We start from the raw sequence: 21,917 nt of genomic DNA, 5'->3' as shown, positions 1-21,917 counted from the left end.
CCTAAACACAAACCCAATAATGGTGTGAAGGGAAGGGGGTCATACTTGAAGAACAGAATGTCTGTAACACTGATTTTTTAGAAATGTATGGGTTAGTCATTAATTTTCTGTTTTGTGGCCTTTTTCTGCTGGTTCTCCAACATTATACTCTTTTAACCTTGGTTGGGAGTTAGAAGGTGGGTACTGGGATGCATGCATTCAGGATCCCTGCTATGTGAGTCTTTCTTGAGTTCTCACTCCCCCCACCCCCTAAAATTACAGTATCGAATTCAAACATATACAAGCATTAATGCCAATGATTCCCCAGTGTATGAGCCCAGATGATGGGCTTAGAGCATCTAGATTTCGTTGAGGTTTTATTGTTTGTTTTATTTAAAGAGATATTTTAAAAGACTTTATTTTTAGAGCAATTTTAATGTCACAGCAAAATTAAGAAGAAGATACAGTGATTTCCCATATACACCTTGCCCCTACACATGTGTACCTTCCCCCACTATGAATATCCCCCACCACAGTGGTACATTTGTTAGAGTGGATGAACCCACCTTAACACATCATAATTACCTGAAGTCCATAGTTTACATCATGGTTTACTCTTGATGTTGAATATTCCATGGGTTTGGACAAATGTGTAATTACATGTATCCATCATATAGTATCATACAGAGTATTTTCCTTGCCTTAAAAATCCTCTGTGCTTCACATGTTCAACTATCCCTGTCAGCCACTGATCTTTCTGTTGTCAGCATAGTTTTCTCTTTTTGTCTTTTCCAGAATGTCACATAGCTGGAATCACATAGTATGTGGCCTTTTCAGGTTGCTTTCTTTCACTTAGTAATGTACATTTAAGTTTCCCCCAAGTTTTTTCATGATTTGAGAGTTCAGTTCTTTTTAGCACTAAATAATATTCCCTGGATGTACCACAGTTTGTTCATTCACCTACTGAAAGACATCTTGGTTGCTTGCAAGTTTTGGCAATTATAAATAAAGCTGTTATAAGTATCTCTGCAGGTTTCTGTGTGAACGTAAGTTTTAAACTTCTTTGGGTAAATACCCAGAAGTATGATAGTATATTAAGTATATGTTTGGTTTTGTAGGAAACTACTAAATTGTCTCCCAAAGTTGCTGTACCATTTTATATTCCCACCAGCAATGAATTAAAGTTCTTGTTACTCCACATCCTTGCCAGCATTTGGCCTTGTCGGAGTTCCAGATTTTGGCAATTCTAATAGGTGTGTAATGGTATCTTACTGGTATTTTATTTTGCATTTCCCTGATGACACCTGATATTGAGCAATTTTTCATGTACTTATTTTCCATCTGTATAGCTTCTTTGGTAAGGGGGTCTGTTAAGGTTTTTGGCCCATTTTTTTAATCTGGCTGTTTGTTTTCTTGTTGTGTTTTAGTAGTTCTTTGTATATTTTAGATAATAGTTCTATATCACAAAGACATTTGTGTCTTTTGCAAATATTTTCTCCCAGTCTGTGGCTTTTTTTCTCATTTTCTTGATAGGTTTTGTTTTTAAAATTTTCCATTCATCTTTTCTGAAGGATGCCCTGTGATGGGTAGAAAATGTCAAATATTTTTATACTACTTCTATGTGGAAAAGTCAAAAAAACTAGAAAAAAATGAAAGATGATGAGAGAGTATTTATAAGTGTTGCTTTCTGCATACTCCTCTCACCCCTCTACATTTAGCTACTTCTCCTTTTATAGGGAAAAGAGAGGACTCATTACATTTATCATGTGTCTGCAGCAATCCTGGATCTAAATCTAGATTGAATCATTTCTAGAATGTATGAAACGAAGAATGACTGCGAGGTGTGTGGATAGGTTTTTGAATATACATGGTTTTTGGCCGGGCATGGTGGCTTATGCCTGTAATTTCAGCACTTTGGGAGGCTGAGGCAGACAGATCACTTGAGGCCAGGAGTTCGAGACCAGCCTGGGTAACATAGTGAAACCCTGTCTCTACTAAAAGTACAAAAAAAAAAAAAAAATAAAGAAATAGCTGGGCGTGGTGGTGCTTGCCTGTAGTCCCAGCTACTTGGGAGGCTGAAGTGAAAGAATTCCTTGAGCCTGGGAGGTGGAGGTTGCAGTGAGTGGAGATCACAACACTAGATTCCAGCCTGGCTGACAGAGCAAGACTCTGTCTCAAAAAATTAAAATATATATATGTGTGTGTGTGTGTGTGTGTGTGTGTGTGTGCACGCACACACACACAAATAGATTAGTCCTCAAGTGATTTCTTTTGCTATGCAAACATTGAATTGATCCTCACCTCTCCCCAACACTTGGGGCCAATTTTACTTAATAGAATGCACAAGACTACAACTAATTTATGATGAAAAAATTGTAATCATGCATTGTGCATTATAAGCTAGCCACCTCAAGGTTGACTCCCTTTCTTGATATGAGGGCACAATATATCTGTTGTCATTAGCAGTTAATGGAGATGCTTCAACTTACTATTGTTTCTACAAAATTTTGAACTATATTAAACCAGGATAAATCTCTGCTAATTAGTGGCACAACAAAAGTATAATTATACTCTAGTTCCAGTGGATGGTATGAGCAAACAGTTCTTAATAGGAGTGATCTGAGAATTTCTGAATCCTCGGAGTCCAGTGAGTTATATTTGATCATGACCTCGTTGATGTAACAGTCAACCAGTGACACCTGTTCACAAGAGGGTGGATTGTTCTATTTGGTCTTGTTGAAGTCATGTCATTTGTATTTATTCCTCTGACAGTACATATTAACATAATTTGTTCTAAGTTAATATCAATGTGAATTTCTAAAATATTGTAGATGAAAATTTTCAAAACATGGTACCCCCAAAAGATGATTAATGAAGAATGAGCCTGTTTTAATTGCAAACTTTTTGCCAACTGAAGATGAAACGGGGACATGTTCATAGGCAATAACCAAATGATCTCTGTTCTCACTTTAGAGCAGGAGAATTTTCATGTGATATAACACACAGCCTTTCCCTTAATTGACCTTAGAGTAGAAGCACCTCTGTCATCACTGAGGTCTGAAAACACAGCAAGGTACCCCATGATAGCAAATAATTATGTTATTATAGTAAAACATCTTCATAAGTAAGTTATATAGTATCCTGAAAATACCTTAGGGTTGGCAACAAGAAAAAGGGGAGAAAAGTAAGCATCCTTGAGAAAAATGTATAATTTGGGCTTCATTTTTTTAATTCTCTGAGAAAAAGGAGTCCACCTTTCCCATTCCCTTTCATTCATCTTTCCCTTATATATCAGCATAAGAATAAAATAAAAGACTTTTATGTTAATATAAAATATTAATGAACTATAATGGTAATATGTAAGTTGGGCAAGATTTTAATATCTGAAAGTTTATTTTTCATTCACTAAATGAGGATAAAGTATGAGTATTCTTTTTTTATTTGTATCCTTTTGTTCTTTAATTTGTATTATTTGAAATGATTACAATTTCCAATAAAATATGAAGCCCTATACATCTTCACAAATAAAGATACTGTCTTCCATTTGTAGATACATCAAAAGAAAAAAAGCAAGGTGTGAAAAAGTAGATGCATCCAGATTGGCAAAATGGATGCATCCAGATTGGCAGATACATGGATGTCTTTATAGCGTTCACTTTACTTTTGAGTATATTTGAATATGTTAATTTATAAATAATATAACTAATAAATAAATCTTATTACAGTTGTTTGTGAACTCTTTCCCTCAGTTTCAAAGGACAAAGACTTCATATTCCTGCCCTAGTATTGAGGAATGTGTTAGGCAGACCAAATAGTGGAGTCTTTGTATGGTGTGGTAGGCAGAATGCCCCCCCACATACCCCTGCCCTGTTAAAGATGTCTGCACCCTAATCTCTGACACCAGTAAATATATTACCTTAGGTGGCAAAAGGAACTTTACAGGTATAATTAAAGTTGCAGACCTTAAAATAGGAAGAGTCGTTTGGATTATTCAGGTGTGCTCAATCTAATGACATGAGCCCCTAAAAGCACAGTACCTTCTCCAGCTGGAGGCAGAAGAGATGAAGTAGTCACAAAGATTCAAAGTGTGAGAAGGACTCCACACGCAGTAGCTGGTTAGATGTGGGGAGCAACATCATGAGGAATTCAGGTAGCTTCAAGGAGCTGAGAGAGACGCTTGGCTCACAGCCAGCGAGGAAACGGGGACTTCACCCCTGCAGCCCAAATAACTGGATTCTGTCAACAACCTGAGTGAGCTTGGAAGCGGTTCTCCCTCAGAGCCTCCAGATAAGAGAGCAGCTTGCCATCAACTTGATTTCTGTCTATGAAACCCAGACCAGAGAAAACAGCTGAGCTCACCAGACTTCTGACCTACAGAACTGTGAGATAATACATTTGTTGTTTAAAAACACACACACACAGTAAGGGGAAAGACGGGGATTGACTAACTAGAAGGTGCAAGTCTGTGGCAGTTCATACTTAATCTGATAGAGCCTCTGTTGGGTGAAAGGCTAAAGGAAGTTTTCTTCTCTGTGGCTTACTACTGTAAACTTTCAGTTATCAAACTAAAGGGGGACATTGGGCCCAAATCATTTTTAAATGCCATAAAATTTACCCAGTAGTAATAATTAACCCATACTATGTGCCAGGCACAATTCCAAGTATTTTGTTCCATTAAATAATGAGACCTGACTGTGTTATGAGTTGACACATTACTATCATCCTATTTTACATAAGATTTGGAAGCACCTCAGAGAGTTTAGATAACTCACCTGAAGGCAGAAGCTGGGAAGAGGCAGAGCTGGAATTCAAACTCAGGACATCTGTCTTCAGAGAACTTGCTCCTGAAATTAAGCTCCAGGTTTCCAGGCTTTCCTTGTAGTCAAACCTGTTCTGGGTTAAATAAAAAAATAAGAGGAGTTGAAAGACCTTTTCTAAGTAAGAAGTAAAAGAGGTACAGTGGTCATTATCATCTGAATAGCCCATTTTCAATTCTTTATTCTCATCCTCAGGACAATGATGGAATCATAGTAAGGTTTTCACAATGTAAATGAGGGTTGGCATGGAGGGAAGGGAATATCCTGACTGTGCTGCTACTTTGCTTATCTCTTGCTGATAACTGTTTCCTGGTGGCTTTTGAGAATGATCTGAATCTAAAGTATCTCCTTATTAAGAGCTAGATATTAAATAAATACAAGTCTCCTAGAGCATAGGAAAATCATGTTTCTTCCTATCAAAGATGTTGAAATCTTTACAAAAACACTGATCAAAATTGGTAGATTTTGAGGGGGTTGTACCTAAAAAGTGAAAGAGACTGTCTTTATCATATCCTTGGTCCTAGAGAAATCATTGCAACTCATCAGTAGTGGCATCTCTGAGAATCACATCCATATTATTAGTATTTATCAAAAAAGTCATTATTGGCCAGGTGTGGTGGCTCATGCCTGTAATCCCAGCACTTTGGGAGGCCGAGACCAGCAAATCACTTGAGGTCAGGAGTTTGTGACCAGCCTGGCTAACATGGTGAAACCCCGTTTCCACGAAAAATACAAAAATTAGCCAGGCATGGTGGCGGGCACCTGTAATCCCAGCTACTTGGGAGACTGAGGCAGAATAATCTCTTGAACCCGAGAGGGGGAGGCTGTAGTGAACTGAGACTGCACCACTGCAGTCCAGCCTGGGCAAGAGAGTGAGAATCTGTCTCCAAAAAAAAGGAAAAGAAAAAAAAAGTCATTACTTATGATCATATTTGTCATCAGACTCCTGAAATTTCCGACTAACAGATTTAAGAGAACTCAATTAAAAAGCCATGTGCTGTATTTTTTTCTGAAGAGAGGCTATCACTATATATCGTACTTGATGCAAAATGTACTATCACTAAATATGTCGAACACGTACTAGCATATCTAAAAGCCATGGAGATCTTAAAGAATATTATTCACTTAATGAAAAGTAAGGAGACGTAGAGACTCTTCATCTTTCAATCAAATTTAGCAAATGTGTTGAATATTTAGTATGTATCAGGCACTAGACTTATATTGACTGGGAATACAAAATGATAAATTATAGCTCTTATGGAGCTTGTAGCCTTGTAAATAAGACAAATAGGTTCACCAACAACCAAATATGGTAGGATAAGTGTTATGAAAGGGGATTATAGCAAAGACTCTGAGAGTAGAGAGACATCCAAGACAGACTGGGAGAGTCAATAAAAGTTACCTGACAGCTGAATATTCACACCCGATAAACGTTCGTGGTCAGGCTGAAGGGTAGTATGTATGAAAACATAGAAAGGAGAGAGTGTGGCTTGTTATAAAAATGGTTTTAGGGTGGCAAAAAGGGTGGATATTTGGGTGAAGAGACAAAGCTGGAGAAATACTTAAGCAGAGAGAGAAAAAGGAGCTGATTTTGAAGGGTTTTGTATGCCTTGCTAAGGGTAGGCACCTTATCCAGAAGTTGGTGGTGATTCATTTGTGGGCTTGAAGCAAGATGGTAGCATCAGAATCACCTTTGGGAAGATCACAGTGGCAGCCTTTTGAAGAATGGATTGGAGAAGAAGACCTAAGGCCAGATCAGTTGGGATGCTGTGGTGGATCCCTGTAAAAGAGATGAGGGCTCGAACCAAGGCAGCAGAGGTGAGGATGAAGGTAAGGGGTCAGTGTGAGAGATGAAGGAGGTGGGCTCTATTACTTTTAGAGACCAGTGGGTTGTTGGAAGTGAAAGAGAAGTTAGCATTTAGGATGAGCTCAAGGTTTCTGACCTAGGTGATTCGCCATTTGCCAAGCGAAGAAATACTAGAAGAATAAGTTTGGGTGGAGAGACGCTGATGTCATTGTTGGACCTCTTCCATTTAAATGAACATACCCCAAAGACAATTGAATATAAGATTGTGGAATTTAGGAGATCTTATCATATCAATTTGGGTATTATCTTTAACAAATACTTTTATAATTGTCTGTTCTCTGCAAGATGACTTTTTATTCTCTATCAGGTAAGTATAGTCTGTTTCCCTTTAATAAGGCGTTTAAGGATTGTGATTTCTAAGACCTTGACATGAAGCATAAATTATAAGAGACAGTAATTAGAAAATGGATAAGAAGGTGTGCTCTTCTCTTGACCCTGGCAAACTGGCAGGAATGAGAGTCGACAAGGCCACTGCTGCAGTACTGTACCTCATGCCCCCCACCCATTCCATTGTGTGATGGAATATTCTTCCTTCTGATCTGCATACCATTTAGAATTTAGATCCTAGGCTCATCACTTTTATATTTAGTTTTTCTATCTCATTATGAACTAAATCAGTTTGTTCTTTGACAGAAAATTAGTCAGAGGTCCCCATATTAAGACTGCACTGCTCCTAAAGACCTATTGCAAAGATAGGTTGAATCTAATTCTCCTCTTTCCTACCTCTCATATGTTTGAGTAGAATAATCCTAAAGGTAGAAGGTGGAAACTACATATATGGAATAAATTATAAACTCTAGATTTACAATAAAGCAACAATGTTAGACTTAAAGAATATTAGTACTTAGATACCAATATTAAAGAATATCCTTTAACACAAATCAAAAAATGTAAATGAGAATTACGTAAAAACAAAAAAATTAGAATTAGTCAATTCTTTATTTTCTTGAGATATTACTTTTATAAAAGCTTTTGATTCTAGTGACTAATTTCCATTGATTATATACACATTTTCTAGGCAACTTGGGTCAGGAGAGTTTTTGTCTTGATCTACAAACGATATTTCCTCCCAGGCATCGAAACAACTTATATTCACCCCGTGAATATGTCATCAATCTGTTATGTGTGAATGGACACTATTTTTTCCTGTACTTGGCCAAATGTTTCATTTCCTGAAAATTAAATTGCTTAAATGCAACAGACAGATGGCCAGAGAGTCCTGTAGTAGCTTGCTCTGCCATGAAATTTATCTGCATTTCTGTGGAAAGCCTGAGAAGTTGGGCAAAACTCTTTTTGCACACTACTATGCCATGATTGATGTTGCAGTCTTCTTGCCATTTTAAAATTATTAATAATTCTGTTACTTTGGACATTAGGAGGAAATGGTTTAAAGGCTATTTCATATTTTATATGAAAAATTAAAACTGTTCATGAAAAGTCACATGGACCACCTTGGTTGAACTTATTTTAAAATTGTACTTAAGGTATTAAAAAATAATAATTACACATGAAAATGGAGAAATAATAGCTGGAACTTTTTTCTTATTTCCAGTCTTCTAATATATTCTCTAGGCTAACGGCATATTCTTATCAGTGCAGTATAAGAAGTTTGACTAAATAAGGCATGATCTATGTAGTCTGTTTTGTTTTCTTTTGTTACTATCAAATATAAAAACAAGTTTGGCCATTTGTTTCAATGCAAGAAAAAATACAGTTCCTAAGTAAGTATCTATGATGGCCTTGTCTCAACCATATACAATAAATGTTAAAATAAACTTGTTGTATATCAACTATTCAGATAAAGCAAAATCACTTCGCTACTGAGAAGATTTTTCAGCTGTCATTCAATATGTACTTTGGGAAAACTGTAAAGTGTAAATATGCTCATAAAAGAGCAAGGGCCAAGTGAAATGAATTTAAACTTCTAAGACTTCTTTTTATCAGTTGTGTATACTTAGCCTTGAGTCTGATGCTTTCATTGAACATGTATTTTTAAAAATTTGTATATCTAACCACATTCAAAGCCCAAATTGGGAAATAACAAAATGTTCCCTTATCCTTTACATCAAGATGCTATTAGAGAACATTTGTAGAGCTCTTCAGAGCTGACGGTGAACATGGCACAAAATAGTTGACAATGAACACTGTCATTAATCTGTCACTTACTTTTGATTTAGAACATTCTGTGAATACCCCAATTCTGGAAATAAACATGTATTAAAGTTCTACCCTCTGTACAGGGGCACCTCAGGTCATGTTGTGGAGTAGGAAAAAGGAATAAATTGAGTGAAGGACTTTAGTACCTCTAAGAACTCATGTACTGGCCAGGTGCAGTGGCTCATGCCTGTAATCCCAGCACTTTGGGAGGCCAAGGTGGGCGGATCACTTCAAGTCAGGAGTTAGACACCATCCTGACCAACATGGAGAAACCCCATCTCTACAAAACATACAAAATTAGCCAGGCATGGTGGTGCATGCCTGTAATCCCAGCTACCCGGGAGGCTGAGGCAGGAGAATCGCTTGGACCTGGGAGGCAGAGGTTGTGGTGAGCCGAGATTTGCCATTGCACTCCAACCTGGGCAATAAGAGTGAAACTCCGTCAAAACAAAAAAAAAAAAAAAAAGAGGAATACAGGTAGAGGCACATAAGGATTCATATCATTCAGATAATTTAGGTAGGAGGACTCCCCAGTCATTGCGTCTCTCCCCTCTTCTCCAACTTTCAGAATCTAAGATCAGCAGAAGCAGCAGGCTGTGCAGCTCCAATACTACTCCCGTGACCCCTGCCCTCCCTGGGCCCCCGAGGTCACTCTCCCTTAACGCTTATCTCTTGTTCCTACTAGTTTTTCGTCTGCCTACACACAGAGGACACCTACCCTTCCTGTCTACTTCTGTTGCTCTGCTCCTTTCTGATTCATTGCTTCTGCTTCCCACCCGTACTGCAAAGCTTAGCCATTTAAGGAAGCCAGACTCCCCAGAACACTGCTTAAGTGCTTACAGTTATATTAAATAGAAAAATAAAAGAATCAATGAAGATGCTCAAAGAGGAACGTGTACTTTGCACATATCATAGTGGACTTGTCCTAGGAGAATCAGAACTCTAGCCGAACTCATGTAATCCTTAAAGCTCGTGCTGTGATTATTGATTAAAAGAGAACAGCTGAGACCTTTGACACTTCAGAGGCCAGTGGTCTGTGCAGTCAGTCTGGCTTCTCTAACAGGGAAAGGCATGTAAGGAAAAGGAAATGAGACAGCCTGGGACACAAGTTCAAGTATGAACAATACTATCACATGTTCCATAGTGCCTATCAAACAAGTGTATGTCGTCATATTAGTCGCCTCCTTAGCCTCTGGCCCTCCCATAATACTCAAAGCCATCTGGCTATCTGCTCTTATTTGCAAGTAATCAGGAAAAGTAAAGTAAGAGGGTTGATAATATGAGCTTTGTGAACCCCAACTATCTCCATGTGCTTCAGCTCTGACCAGGAGAGAGCAACGTGGGAGGTGAGGTCTATTCGAAGTTGCCAGACTTGACCAGTTAACAGTGCAACGGTTTGAAGAACAATGACTCTAGCCCTTTAGAGGTTAAAGGCTATTGGGTAGATGTGTAGGCGTCTGCTCAGATCACATTCATAATAAACTTGCAATTCCATGACTCCATTATGCTGTATGATTTGACCCAAGGCATCAGAATCAAAGAGACCCATCAGATGCCTGAGGCAGAGATCAAAACAGGCAAAGTAGAAAAAGGACTCTCTAAGAAATGAGTTATCATCATCAGAGCTCCTGGTTCTATATCCAGTTGATGCCAGGCTTTCCTTGCAAATGGGTAGTGAGAGGACAACTACAACAATGTAGACTCACCCACAACCCCTTCTGCTGCTCACCACCCAGCATCCATCTGTGAGGTTTCTGAGCAGTGAGCCATTTGAGGTTTTAAATTTCATTTTACGTACAATTTTATCACTGAGATTTTTTTTTCTAAAATAAAGAAGCATTTAATTTTTTTCTCTCTTCAGCTGTTAGCACATTTAAGTTAGTTCCTGCTTTTTTTGTTTAGGTGGTTTTTGTTCATGATGATTTTTCTTCTCTTGCTCATTGGGATATAAGTGGAATATATAATTTTTTTTTAATGTTAGGATTTGTTGTTGTGCAGAGAAAAAAGGTAAAGGTCAAATGATCAAAGGCATTTGTTGATGACCCAGAAGAACGTTCAGATTTAAGCATTATTACAAGAGATCGTCTAATGCTAAGCGTAATTTTACTTGACATGTGGCAATTAATGTGTCAAGCAAAATGCTGCTTACCATTACTAGTCATTACTTTATTGTGGAAAGACAGCAGTCCCTTGGTATCCGCATGGGATTTGTTCCAGAACCACCGCACCACATATCAAAATCCACGCATACTTACATCCCACATTTGGCTCTGCAGAACTTCCCTCTAGGAAAAGTTGGTCCTCCTCATCCTCAGGTTTTTGGATCCGGTGAACACGGTATTTTCAATACTCACTTGGTTGTGGATGCAGAACCCACAGATACCAAGGGCCAACTGTACTTATCGAAAAATATCCACATGTAAGTGGACCCACACAGTTCAAATTTGTGTTTCTCAAGGATTAGCTATATTTATTGCGTGCTTGAAAACCAAGCAGGTAGGATGGTATTGTAGACAAAGCACAGGCTCACTTTTTTTTTGTTGCTATTTTTATGATCTTCACTTAGTATAAGAGTTTCTGTCAAAAACTGCAGCCTCCAGTACCAGTAGCAAAGCATTTCTAAAAGGTTTTGACTAAGGTACTTAATCAGTGCATGGCCCGATGCACTACATGTATGAATTTCATCTTTACTACATTAGATTTCTACCAATTGTATATAAATAGCCTAGTATGCTTAGTTAGGACAATATGTTTAATATTGGGGATGATCCTAAGAAATTATAGATTTCTCAATATGGTATTCTAATTAAAACCTAATTAGCAATTCACTGTGCTAGAACTTGGATTTTTTTCACATAGAAATAATTTCACTACGCATAGAAAGTAAAGATGTATTTTTTGGAGACATTAGAATTTCAAAAATATAAGGCAGCACATGTGGAATGTAGAGGTGTTAAAAATCTTAAGTGTGGGTTTCTCTATAGCTCTAAGCTTGAACAGTTTTGTATAATCAGCGAGCTTGCCAAACAGTATCAAAAAACTCATTTTCTTCAAGTGCTTTATTTATCTTTAATAGAACCTTCATCACCCTGGTGTTGTAAATTTGGAGTGTATGTTTGAGACGCCTGAAAGAGTGTTTGTTGTTATGGAAAAACTCCATGGAGACATGCTGGAAATGATCTTGTCAAGTGAAAAGGGCAGGTTGCCAGAGCACATAACGAAGTTTTTAATTACTCAGGTAAGAAATCAATTAGAGACGGAAAAAATACAATATTTAATATCAAATGTTATCACTGTTTAACTACAGCTTTCTAGCCTTGTTGTTTAGTCCCTACCTCCAGTCTAAACTACACTAGAAAAGGTTGTAGTGGCTTTATTGTATTATGTGATTTATATCTATATTAATCAGAGTCCACAGTGTACCAAATTAGTAACATGTTTGCAGGTCCATGTATTCAAACTTTTCATGAAATTTTAAAATGTACATTGGTTTAGTTTTGGTTCTTTGAGAATATTTAAGAATGGGTGTCCCTGTTAGATATAGGTCTTTTATCTACATCTGTCTTGGCCGCTGTATGAATACCATCATATGGTAATTTTTTCATTGAAATTTCTTTAGAAACCTATGTTAATCTAGCTCATTTCAGTGTCTTTAACATAAAGAAATTTGAATGTCCATTGTCAGTTTTTTTTCTTGGCCTTTTAACTGGTAGAAGACATTTTGAAATTAATAAACTGGAATGAAATTTTGGTGATTCTTCTTTACAGATACTCGTGGCTTTGCGGCACCTTCATTTTAAAAATATCGTTCACTGTGACCTCAAACCAGAAAATGTGTTGCTAGCCTCAGCTGATCCTTTTCCTCAGGCAAGTATAAAAGCCTCTCTCAGCAAAAAGCCAGTTGGAAGCATTGCTAGCTTCCATGTAGCATCTTGTCACCTTCCATTTTTCCCTTAAAACCTTTATTTGTTTCAAGTGTTTTCTATCCATTTTTATTCATTTGTTACTTTGGGACTATGGCCTTGTTACTCTGGCCTTTTGGTGAAGCATGCCTTAATTATACACAAAAGTGCCTTCTCATTCTGCCTTTTGGCTTTTCCGGAAGTGGCCTGAGAGTGACAACACTTGAGAGTCCCAGAGATGTTACCTGCTCATTAATGGGCAAGATATTAAACCTCACTGTTGTTCTCAAGGACAAGGGCAAAACTTTTTTCCTTTCCTCAACTTAGAGAGTGGGAAACCAGCTATCTCCGCAGGGAATTATAGGTCTGAAGTGACTTGACTGATGTGACTGTCCTGCCTTGCTTCCCTAACACCTTCCGGTCCTGCCTATATATGTGCCAGTGCAGAGCTAATTTTGAGGATTATTGTGGATGACATGACACATCTCTGTACTTATCCTTCATCTTCTTCTCATAATAAGCGCTTGAGTGAAGGTCATCACTTCCCAGATTTGCATAACGCTTTCCTGCCTTGTATACAATATTACCCACTTCTGAGTACACTTGTCTTCATATTTGTCTCTCGGTTTTTGGAGGAGGGAGACTGTTTTTATTTTTTCATTTATTTTTATTTTATTTTATTTTATTTTATTTTATTTTATTTTATTTTATTTTATTTTAGACAGAGCACTCTGTTGCCCCAGGCTGGAGTGGAATGGTGCAGTCTCAGCTCACTGCAACCTCTGCCTCCCAGACTCAATCAATCCTCTCACCTCAGCCTCTCGAATAGCTGGGACTATAGCTGCACACCACTACGCCGGGCTAATTTTTTAATTTTTTGTAGAGATGGGGGTCTCACTATGTGCCTAGACTGGTCTTGAACTCCTGTCCTCAAGCAATCCTCCTGCCTCAGCCTCCCAAAATGTTAGAATTACAGGCATGAGCCACTGCACCCTGCCAAGGGAGACTGTTTAGATGATATTTTTATGAATGAAAACATACTTTTGTATCACTACATAAACCACTGTCTTCAAATACCTAAAATGGAAAATAGCTATTACTTTAAGAAATCCATATCATTTAATGTAAAGGTAAAGTATTTAAAATATTATGGTTGTATCTGGTGAATCTGAACTAAGACACACAGACACACAATTGTGAACGGAGTATTTCTGCAAATCCTTTCATCAACAGGTGAAACTTTGTGATTTTGGTTTTGCCCGGATCATTGGAGAGAAGTCTTTCCGGAGGTCAGTGGTGGGTACCCCCGCTTACCTGGCTCCTGAGGTCCTAAGGAACAAGGGCTACAATCGCTCTCTAGACATGTGGTCTGTTGGGGTCATCATCTATGTAAGCCTAAGCGGCACATTCCCATTTAATGAAGATGAAGACATACACGACCAAATTCAGAATGCAGCTTTCATGTATCCACCAAATCCCTGGAAGGAAATATCTCATGAAGGTAATATCTTCCATTCAAAAATGATAATAATCTAATCCTTATTTGTTTATGTTATTAATTTAAATTAATTTAATTGTAAATTATTAACTTAATACATGCTCATTGTAAAGTGCCCACCAGAGTGGAGACACAAAGACACGAATTAATTTGGGTGGGACACATACACATAACAGAAATTGGGTTATATATATTAAGAAGTAAGTGAACAACCAGAGAGAATGTATTTTGGTACATTTCATTAGAACTTATAAATACTTATACCTTAATATAATAGTAATAATGAATTATTAGTAAGGGCTTACTTATATGTGCCTAGTTCTGTGTTAAAAACTTTTAAACTATTATCAACACAAGAATGTTATGACATTGATATTTTAATGATCATATAACATATGTTAGTATACCAAGTTCTTTGTCTACTGGTTTTCTTTGTGTGGCATTAAAATATGTATAATATTTTACTTGGCCATTCCCCTGGAATTTTTAGGTTATTTCTCTATGTTTAGTATTAGAACATCCTGATGTATCATTCCTATATATATCTCTGATGATTTCTTTAGAATAGATTACCTTGACAGTGTTGCATTGTTTAGAGTTATATTCTTAATAAATATTTCCTTCCTCTTAAAGGACAAAAGATTGTTTAAAAGAAATTGCAGGGGCTGACAGGGCAGAGAAAGTGACTCATTCAGTACTTCGGAAAGGAGTTCCTCCTTTAACATACATTGGAGTGTATTTAATTCTCATAAAAATTCTATAAGATAGGTGTTACTATGATGGCTATATTTCAAGTGTGGATCACGAGGTCAGAGGTTCAAGATCAGCTTGGCCAATAGGGTGATACCCCATCTCTACTAAAAAATACAAAAATTAGCTGAGCGTGGTGGCACGTGCCTGTAGTCCCTGCTACTCAGGAGGCTGAGGCAGGAGAAGCGCTTGAACCAGGGAGGTGCAGGTTGCAATGAGCTGAGATTGCACCACTGCACTCTAGCCTGGGCAACAGAGTAAGACTCCATCTCAAAAAAAAAGAAGTGACACCACTGGTCAAAATACAAAGCTAGTAAGTAGCAGGGGCATAATTCTTACCCAGGTAGTCTGAACATACTTTTTTTCAGTACTAGCCCTACGTCTTTTCTAGTTTACAGGCAATATCTAGTTCTAGGTTCATTCTGTTTGTTCAGATGTTCACCATGTGAAAAGGCTAGTACATTTGTAAACATCTCTTATGTGATGCCTGTTACTGCATATGTTGGTATAGAAATGAGAAAAGAATGTACAAACCGCTTAGGAGAAATTAAGTTATTAGACTGCTATTGGTATTAAATGACAAGAGCTATCCATTATCAGAGCTTTAAGTTACCATTAGCAACAACCTTTAACATCCTCTAATTAGTTGTAAATCATAGGTGGATGGATATATCTTAAAGGAACCTGTGGCCTACAAAAGAGCTATCATGTGTGCCAAAGGAATAATTAAATATTTTTCATAATTCAACAAAGATGAAAAGTAAAGTGTAATTAAGTTTCTTTCCCAGGAGACAGAGAGAATTATCAAATAACCTTGTGACCAGTACCCTTGTTAGGAAACATTACATCTAAATACAGCTAACCATTATGCTTGATATTGCTCATCTAGAAATCCAGTAAAATAACTTGATCCTGTTATCAGAATGCAAATCCGTAATACCACTGAAGCCAATCAAACACTTTCCTGTTACACAGGAATTGGGTGTGGGGAAACAACCTTCATGTCTTTAAATCCTTTTTCTAGGAGTAGTGGAACAAATGATGCCCCATCTCTGCTTTCATGAAAATTTGACTTGCTATGTAACTATAGCCTATTAAGACAAAACCTATTCATGCCAGAAATGAATAGTTATAAATTATGAACTTTTAATTATCACTAGTAATAGACACCGGAGGACTAGATAGCAAAGGCTCAGGAAACACTTGTTGGGAAATCACAATATACATACACAGTAGGTAATACAAAAGTAGAGGACAGAACATCAGATGTGCTTCAAAGAACTTGAATGTTAGTTGGGGAGACGAGTTATGTGATGTTGGATAAAATGATAATATATTTCCTTTAATTGTTACCTAGGTGGAAAACCAGGGCCTCCAAGTTCAGGGGAAGGAGAATCACTTTGGACTTTACCAGTTAGGACTCCACTTTCAGAGGAGATAGAATTTAGGCCAGTCAGTGAAGAATGGAAAGAAAGAGACATAGCATTTTAGCAAGAGGGAATTATACAGGATAATTCAAAAGGCATTTATATTTGACTAGGAAGTACACATTTTACTTGGCTATAGAAATGTCTAAGCACTAAAAATTTCCTACCACTCAGATGAAGTGATATGGAGACCAGCTCAGATGGGAGATAGAACCCTCACTTTTCCAAATGACTCAGTACCTCCTTATGGCTCACTCTTGCCTTTGAGGCACAGGCATTTTACTGTTTGCGAACTAAAGCTCTGGATGGCAAAAAAAAAAAAAAGTTACCTAGCTGCTGATGTATGAACAGAACTCATGCTTGAATATAGAGAAAAGTTAGTTAAATTACATCATGATATCAGTTAAGGTGTCACAAAAGTAGTTACTGGCCCAGGTTCTATCCCATTATCTTATTGAGAAGAAATAATTCCATCATTAGAAGTTTTAATGGAGTTAAGACCAAATAGTTTTAATTTTAAGCTTGTAGGACCTGACAAACACACCAGCACAACTATTAATCGTATCTGGCACAGGGTGGTCACAGCTGATATTAGATCAATTTTTAGTCTAGGATACTTTAAACCACACCAGAAACACTAAGAATCCAGATCCAGGGAAATAAAAACCCAAGCACCTCCATGATTTTGACAAAGATAAAATGTCAACAGTCAAGTAGTTTGAGATAGAGAGTCCTATCTGCCATTCCGAGGAGTCATCACTTACCTTCTTTGGGCTTCAGTTCCTCATCTGTAAAATGGGAAATGATTCCCACCTACATAATGAGGTTTTACAAAGATTGAATGAGATAAAGGTTATGAAAGGCATCTATAAAGGCAGGCGTGGGGTGAGCCAAGAATTTGCATCAGAAGGAGGACAGCAGAACACCAAGCACTTGCCCTGGCTGGTAACCAAAGATCGATCGTATCATTTTAAAAACGATGTGCAGGATTCCTTAGTGTTCTTTGGACATATTGCTAGTTGTAATGTATTTTTTTTTCCTGGCATGAAAAAGCAAAAGAAAATGTTATAAGTTACAATCTTAATAACATGCATAGATGTGTCAGAATTACAAATTTCTTTATTATGTATTTTTTCTGTTAGTGTAGATGTTGACTTGATACAATATAATACCTATATCTTGGGGTGCTTGAGTAGTCATTGCACTGCTTGATCCTCACAGCAATCCTCTGGTAAGTGATTTGCTTTCGTCTCTGCATTAGAGAGAACCCAGAGAGGTTTCATGATCTTGAAATCAAGGGCTTAGACTGGAAATCATTTATAATTTGTCTCCATTCTTTACACTATACATTGTTGTATACCAAAAGGGTGCTTATTTCTTATGGCTTGATATTTAGGAACCTATAGAAATATTTTACTCATTAATTATTCCTGCTAAGATGATTTAGTAAGCTGAGTGCTGGCATTCTGCATATATGCCTGCTAATACTTTATCAATGAATTAACAGGACTCTTGTGTTTAAATAACAGAAACCTATCTGTAACTTAGGCAAATAAGATACTTTATTGGCTCACACAACTGGGAAGTCCAAAAGGTAAACCTCTGATTCAGCTAGATCTTAAAGCTCAAGTGTTATTGTTTCGCCATCTCTCAGCTCTGCTTTACTTTAAGATGACTTCTTAAAGCAATGATACCCTAGCAGCTCCAAGCTTATGTGCTACTTATTGTCCATGAATCAGAATGGAAAAGGGATCATCTCTCCATAGCTGTAGGGTCTCTGGAAGGGGCACTGATTGGCTATGGTTAACTCCCTTAACACCCAGGGAACAATCATTCGGCAGCCCCAGGAGCCTGGCTCTGACTGGCCATATGGATGATGATGACAACCTCCAGGTGGAAGAAGGAAGTTCCTGCAGGGAAAAGATGATAGGCTAAAAACAATCACAAAAGCATTAACAGATGTCCTTTATAAAAATAGATGTTTTGTGTGCAAAATAAGGTATGATTTGAAAAATAAGAGAAAATTTGAAGAAAACTTAGCAAATGGTGTTTCCAGTAAAATGGAGATAGTAAAATTAATTAACTGTTGAAAGAAAAAATATGAACAAATATGAATAGCTCACACTTTTACAGTATTTGCCCTGTAGCCAGGCACTATTCTAAACACTCATATGTGAATTCGTTTAATCACCCAGCCTTTGAGTATTTACTCAAAGGATTGTTTTATTATTGTTTCCATTTTGAAGATTAGGTAATGCAGGCATAGATGGTTAAGTAGCTTGTCTAGGTGGGGCCAGGGTACAAATCCTGTCCGCTGGCTCCAAGGCAGATGCTCTTATCCAGGATATTGACAGCCTCTTGATTATCTTTCTAATGTATTTAGCCATGCTGTCACATTAAATTTTTAAAATGCTTTCACAGGCATAGAGCTAGAGTAGTAACACAAATTTTAATAATTTCTAAAAGTACTAGGAAACAGGATCACACTGTGATCAAGAACTGAGTTGCAAGCTGTACCATTTAGTATCTTGGTGATCTCATCCACGTTACTTGTTCTCTTAGGTCTCAGTTTTCTTTTCTGATATGGTGATGCTAATTCCTACCTTACTGGGTTATTGTAAGTATTAAATGAGATTGTTCTGGAAACTGCTTAGCACAGTGATTGGCATGTCTATATTAGTTTAAATATTGATCATTTTCCGTTTCCCAGTCACTTTATAGTCTTTACTTCTGTCTATCTGTATGTATGTATTTAGTTTTTTATAAATGTAAGCATTCATATATATAAAACTACAATTGTGTATAAAGATTATAACTGAATGCATTTATGTATAACTTACAATAGTTAAGTAATAAATTGTTATAAAATACATTATAAGCAATATGTAACAGAGTACATACATACATCATATATATAGTTATGCATACATAACTATATAAAAATGCATGCCTACAAATGAAACATTCCAGCATGAATTATATATTTACAAACAGTTGCACAAAAGGAGAGTCTAGCTCATCATGGGGAAAGAGTGTGGGAACATTTCAGTCTATCCTAAGGCAGTGTTGTATGTTCTACCATATTTCATTTCATCATTATGGCTGTGTCGGTGGTCATTTGTTATCCTCCAGTATATCCCTCGCTACCCATCAGTAATTAGACATGGTCTTGCTGTCATCTCCAACTTTATCTCATACCGGATTAGGCTTAAAGGTCAACACATTCATTCTGTTACCCTTCTCGGTTCCTTGAAAGAACTTGTGTACCTATTTTTAAATATTCGCTTTAAATTTACTTTATCTATGGAAGGGCAGCTCAGTATCACTTAAACATAATTTTAGATGACCAGGTACAACTAAGGAAAATTGCACCTTATCATTTACCAGTATGGCCCTCCTTTCATTGTATTTTTAGAAACAAGAACAAGAAATAGATCAAGATATCCCTCATGTTTCCAGTGTGTGGTATGTCATAAGGGTGAATCCCAGACAGTGCTAAAAACCCCAGAAAATTGCAAGCAAGACTCAGTCTGTGAGTTAAGAAGTAGGTCGCAGGGGTGTGGAGCTTAAAAATGGAAAATGTAAAAACTAGCTATTACTCAAAGCAAGAATATTTGTAAGGCAGGAGATTTCTAGTAATTTTGCCAAAGAGCCTCTTTGATAATGGCTTATTTTAAACAACCTGTCATGGCCTAGCTATAGATCTATAGCAGGCATTTTTTAACTTTAGCATGCCAGCAGTTAATTAGAGGAGCTAGTTAAAAATGGAAGTTCCCAGGCTCTACCCCCTTAAACTGCCGTTTTGCACTGAGAACATAAGAAGTCCATGGTCCATGGACTGCCCTTTCAAAACCGCTGCTCTGGAGCCCAGATCCCCAGAAATAACTTACAGCTGATAGAGCTCTAAAACAATTTTGAATTCAGTTTCTGATATTCAAAGTTAGATACATTATAAAATTTATAAAATCATTTATAAATTTCTGTCATTTCTAAAATATTTTTGTATCTTTATCATCTTCTTTATCAGATATACAATATCAGGACATGTAACTTGTTCATGTTACAGATTGCCATGAAAATAGTGAGAATAAGAAAAGAAGCACAAGTATCTTTTTTCAGGAATAAAGAAGAAACAACTATAAACACCAGGGAAATACAAAAAGTTGTATAACAAAGTCGTGTATAATAAAGATGCAACTAACCTATGTGTCATGATTTTTAGCAATTAAAGGAATGCAGGGGCCAGGCGTGGTGGCTCATGCCTGTAATCCCAGCACTTTGGGAGGCCAAGGTGGGCGGATCACCTGAGGTCAGGAGTTCAAGACCAGCCTGGCCAACATGAAACCCCGTCTCTACTGAAAATAACAGAAATTAGCCAGGCGTAGTGGTGCACACCTGTAGTCCCAGCTACTCGATAGGCTGAGGCAGGAGAATTGCTTGAACCCAGGAGGCAGAGGGTGCAAGTGCCTCTGCACTCCAGCCTGGGCGACAGAGCCAGACTCTGTCTCAAAAAATAAATAAATAAATGAAATAAAGGAATGTAGGAAAAGAGAATCTCTTTAACACTTAAATTCTCCTTTGGGTATAGGTTTGAAGATATGGGGTTACAGGCTATAGGAAATATGGGTTATAACCTAGAATTTATCAGTTAATGTTTATAAATTACTCCACATATTGCTGATTAATTTTGTTTTATATGACCTGTAAACCAAGCGTGTCTGAGTTAACTATAATTATGCAAAAGAATATGCATAACGAAACTTCTACAACACCAGGAATAAGGAGAACAAAGAAGTGAAGGGAGCCGTAAAAGCTCTCACATCCACCGAGTTCATAATGGGATTCTGTCAGAGTGAATGAGTGGTGTTATGTGTGTTTATGTGTATCATTTAACATACAATTTGACCATCAAAGCTTAACGTTTTTAATAAATGTCACATAGATTATCTAAGATCCTCCATACTGTGTGCCAGGCACTATTCTAAATTACAAAGGTGGCCAGTGCTATAATTTAACATATCCAGATTAATTGGGAGAAGGAGGAAAACAATAAGATAGAGAAAACTGGAATGAAATTATTCATCTGTGATGGAAAGAAATCACACTTTTTCAAAGTGATTCTTCTCAAACTATCTGTGATAAAGACCAGTTTTATCTTATTTCAATTTCTAAACATATGGACCAGTACTTTGTAAAATGTACTTAAAATGTGACTGCAATGTTAAATAGCTATAAAAATTTCCAAAGACTTAGTCTCACTTTATATACTTATCTCATCATTGACTGATTATAAACAATTCAGACCAGCACTGATTCATAGATCACTTTAAGCAGCACTAGTTTAGGGTCAATGAAACAAGTATAGAAGATACTGCATTTATTATTTAGAGGTATGGAAATAATTAGAAGAAAAATTTTAAATATTTAAAATAGGTAGTCTCCGGAAGGCAGGTCTAATAATGAGATATAAGAGGCTTTATTTATTTCTTTATTTATTTTTGCTTTTGTACATGTCTTACT

At 37.1% G+C, this 21,917-nt stretch overlaps 1 protein-coding gene and 1 long non-coding RNA gene across 8 annotated transcripts in view; both read left to right on the top strand.

The window, feature by feature from the left end:
* The window catches only part of PRKD1 (protein kinase D1), a 351,369-nt gene that overhangs the window by 316,134 nt on the left and 13,318 nt on the right, over positions 1 to 21,917 (top strand). For all 7 annotated transcript variants that reach the window (XR_943493.3, NM_002742.3, NM_001330069.2 and 4 more), the window contains 3 exons: positions 11,897 to 12,058; positions 12,589 to 12,687; positions 13,956 to 14,223. Coding sequence is in view for 6 of the 7 variants with exons in the window: in NM_002742.3 (NP_002733.2) it covers positions 11,897 to 12,058; positions 12,589 to 12,687; positions 13,956 to 14,223 (529 nt within the window). In the remaining variant the exon portion in view is untranslated. The remainder of the gene's footprint in view (positions 1 to 11,896; positions 12,059 to 12,588; positions 12,688 to 13,955; positions 14,224 to 21,917) is intronic.
* Positions 14,238 to 20,599, top strand: LOC124903297 (uncharacterized). Its single transcript, XR_007064105.1, has 2 exons — positions 14,238 to 17,628; positions 18,960 to 20,599. It is a non-coding gene; the product is annotated as an uncharacterized LOC124903297 (long non-coding RNA).

Source organism: Homo sapiens, chromosome 14 (assembly GCF_000001405.40).
Source record: "Homo sapiens chromosome 14, GRCh38.p14 Primary Assembly".
Taxonomy (NCBI): domain Eukaryota; kingdom Metazoa; phylum Chordata; class Mammalia; order Primates; family Hominidae; genus Homo; species Homo sapiens.
This window is presented reverse-complemented; position numbering and strand designations above follow the sequence as displayed.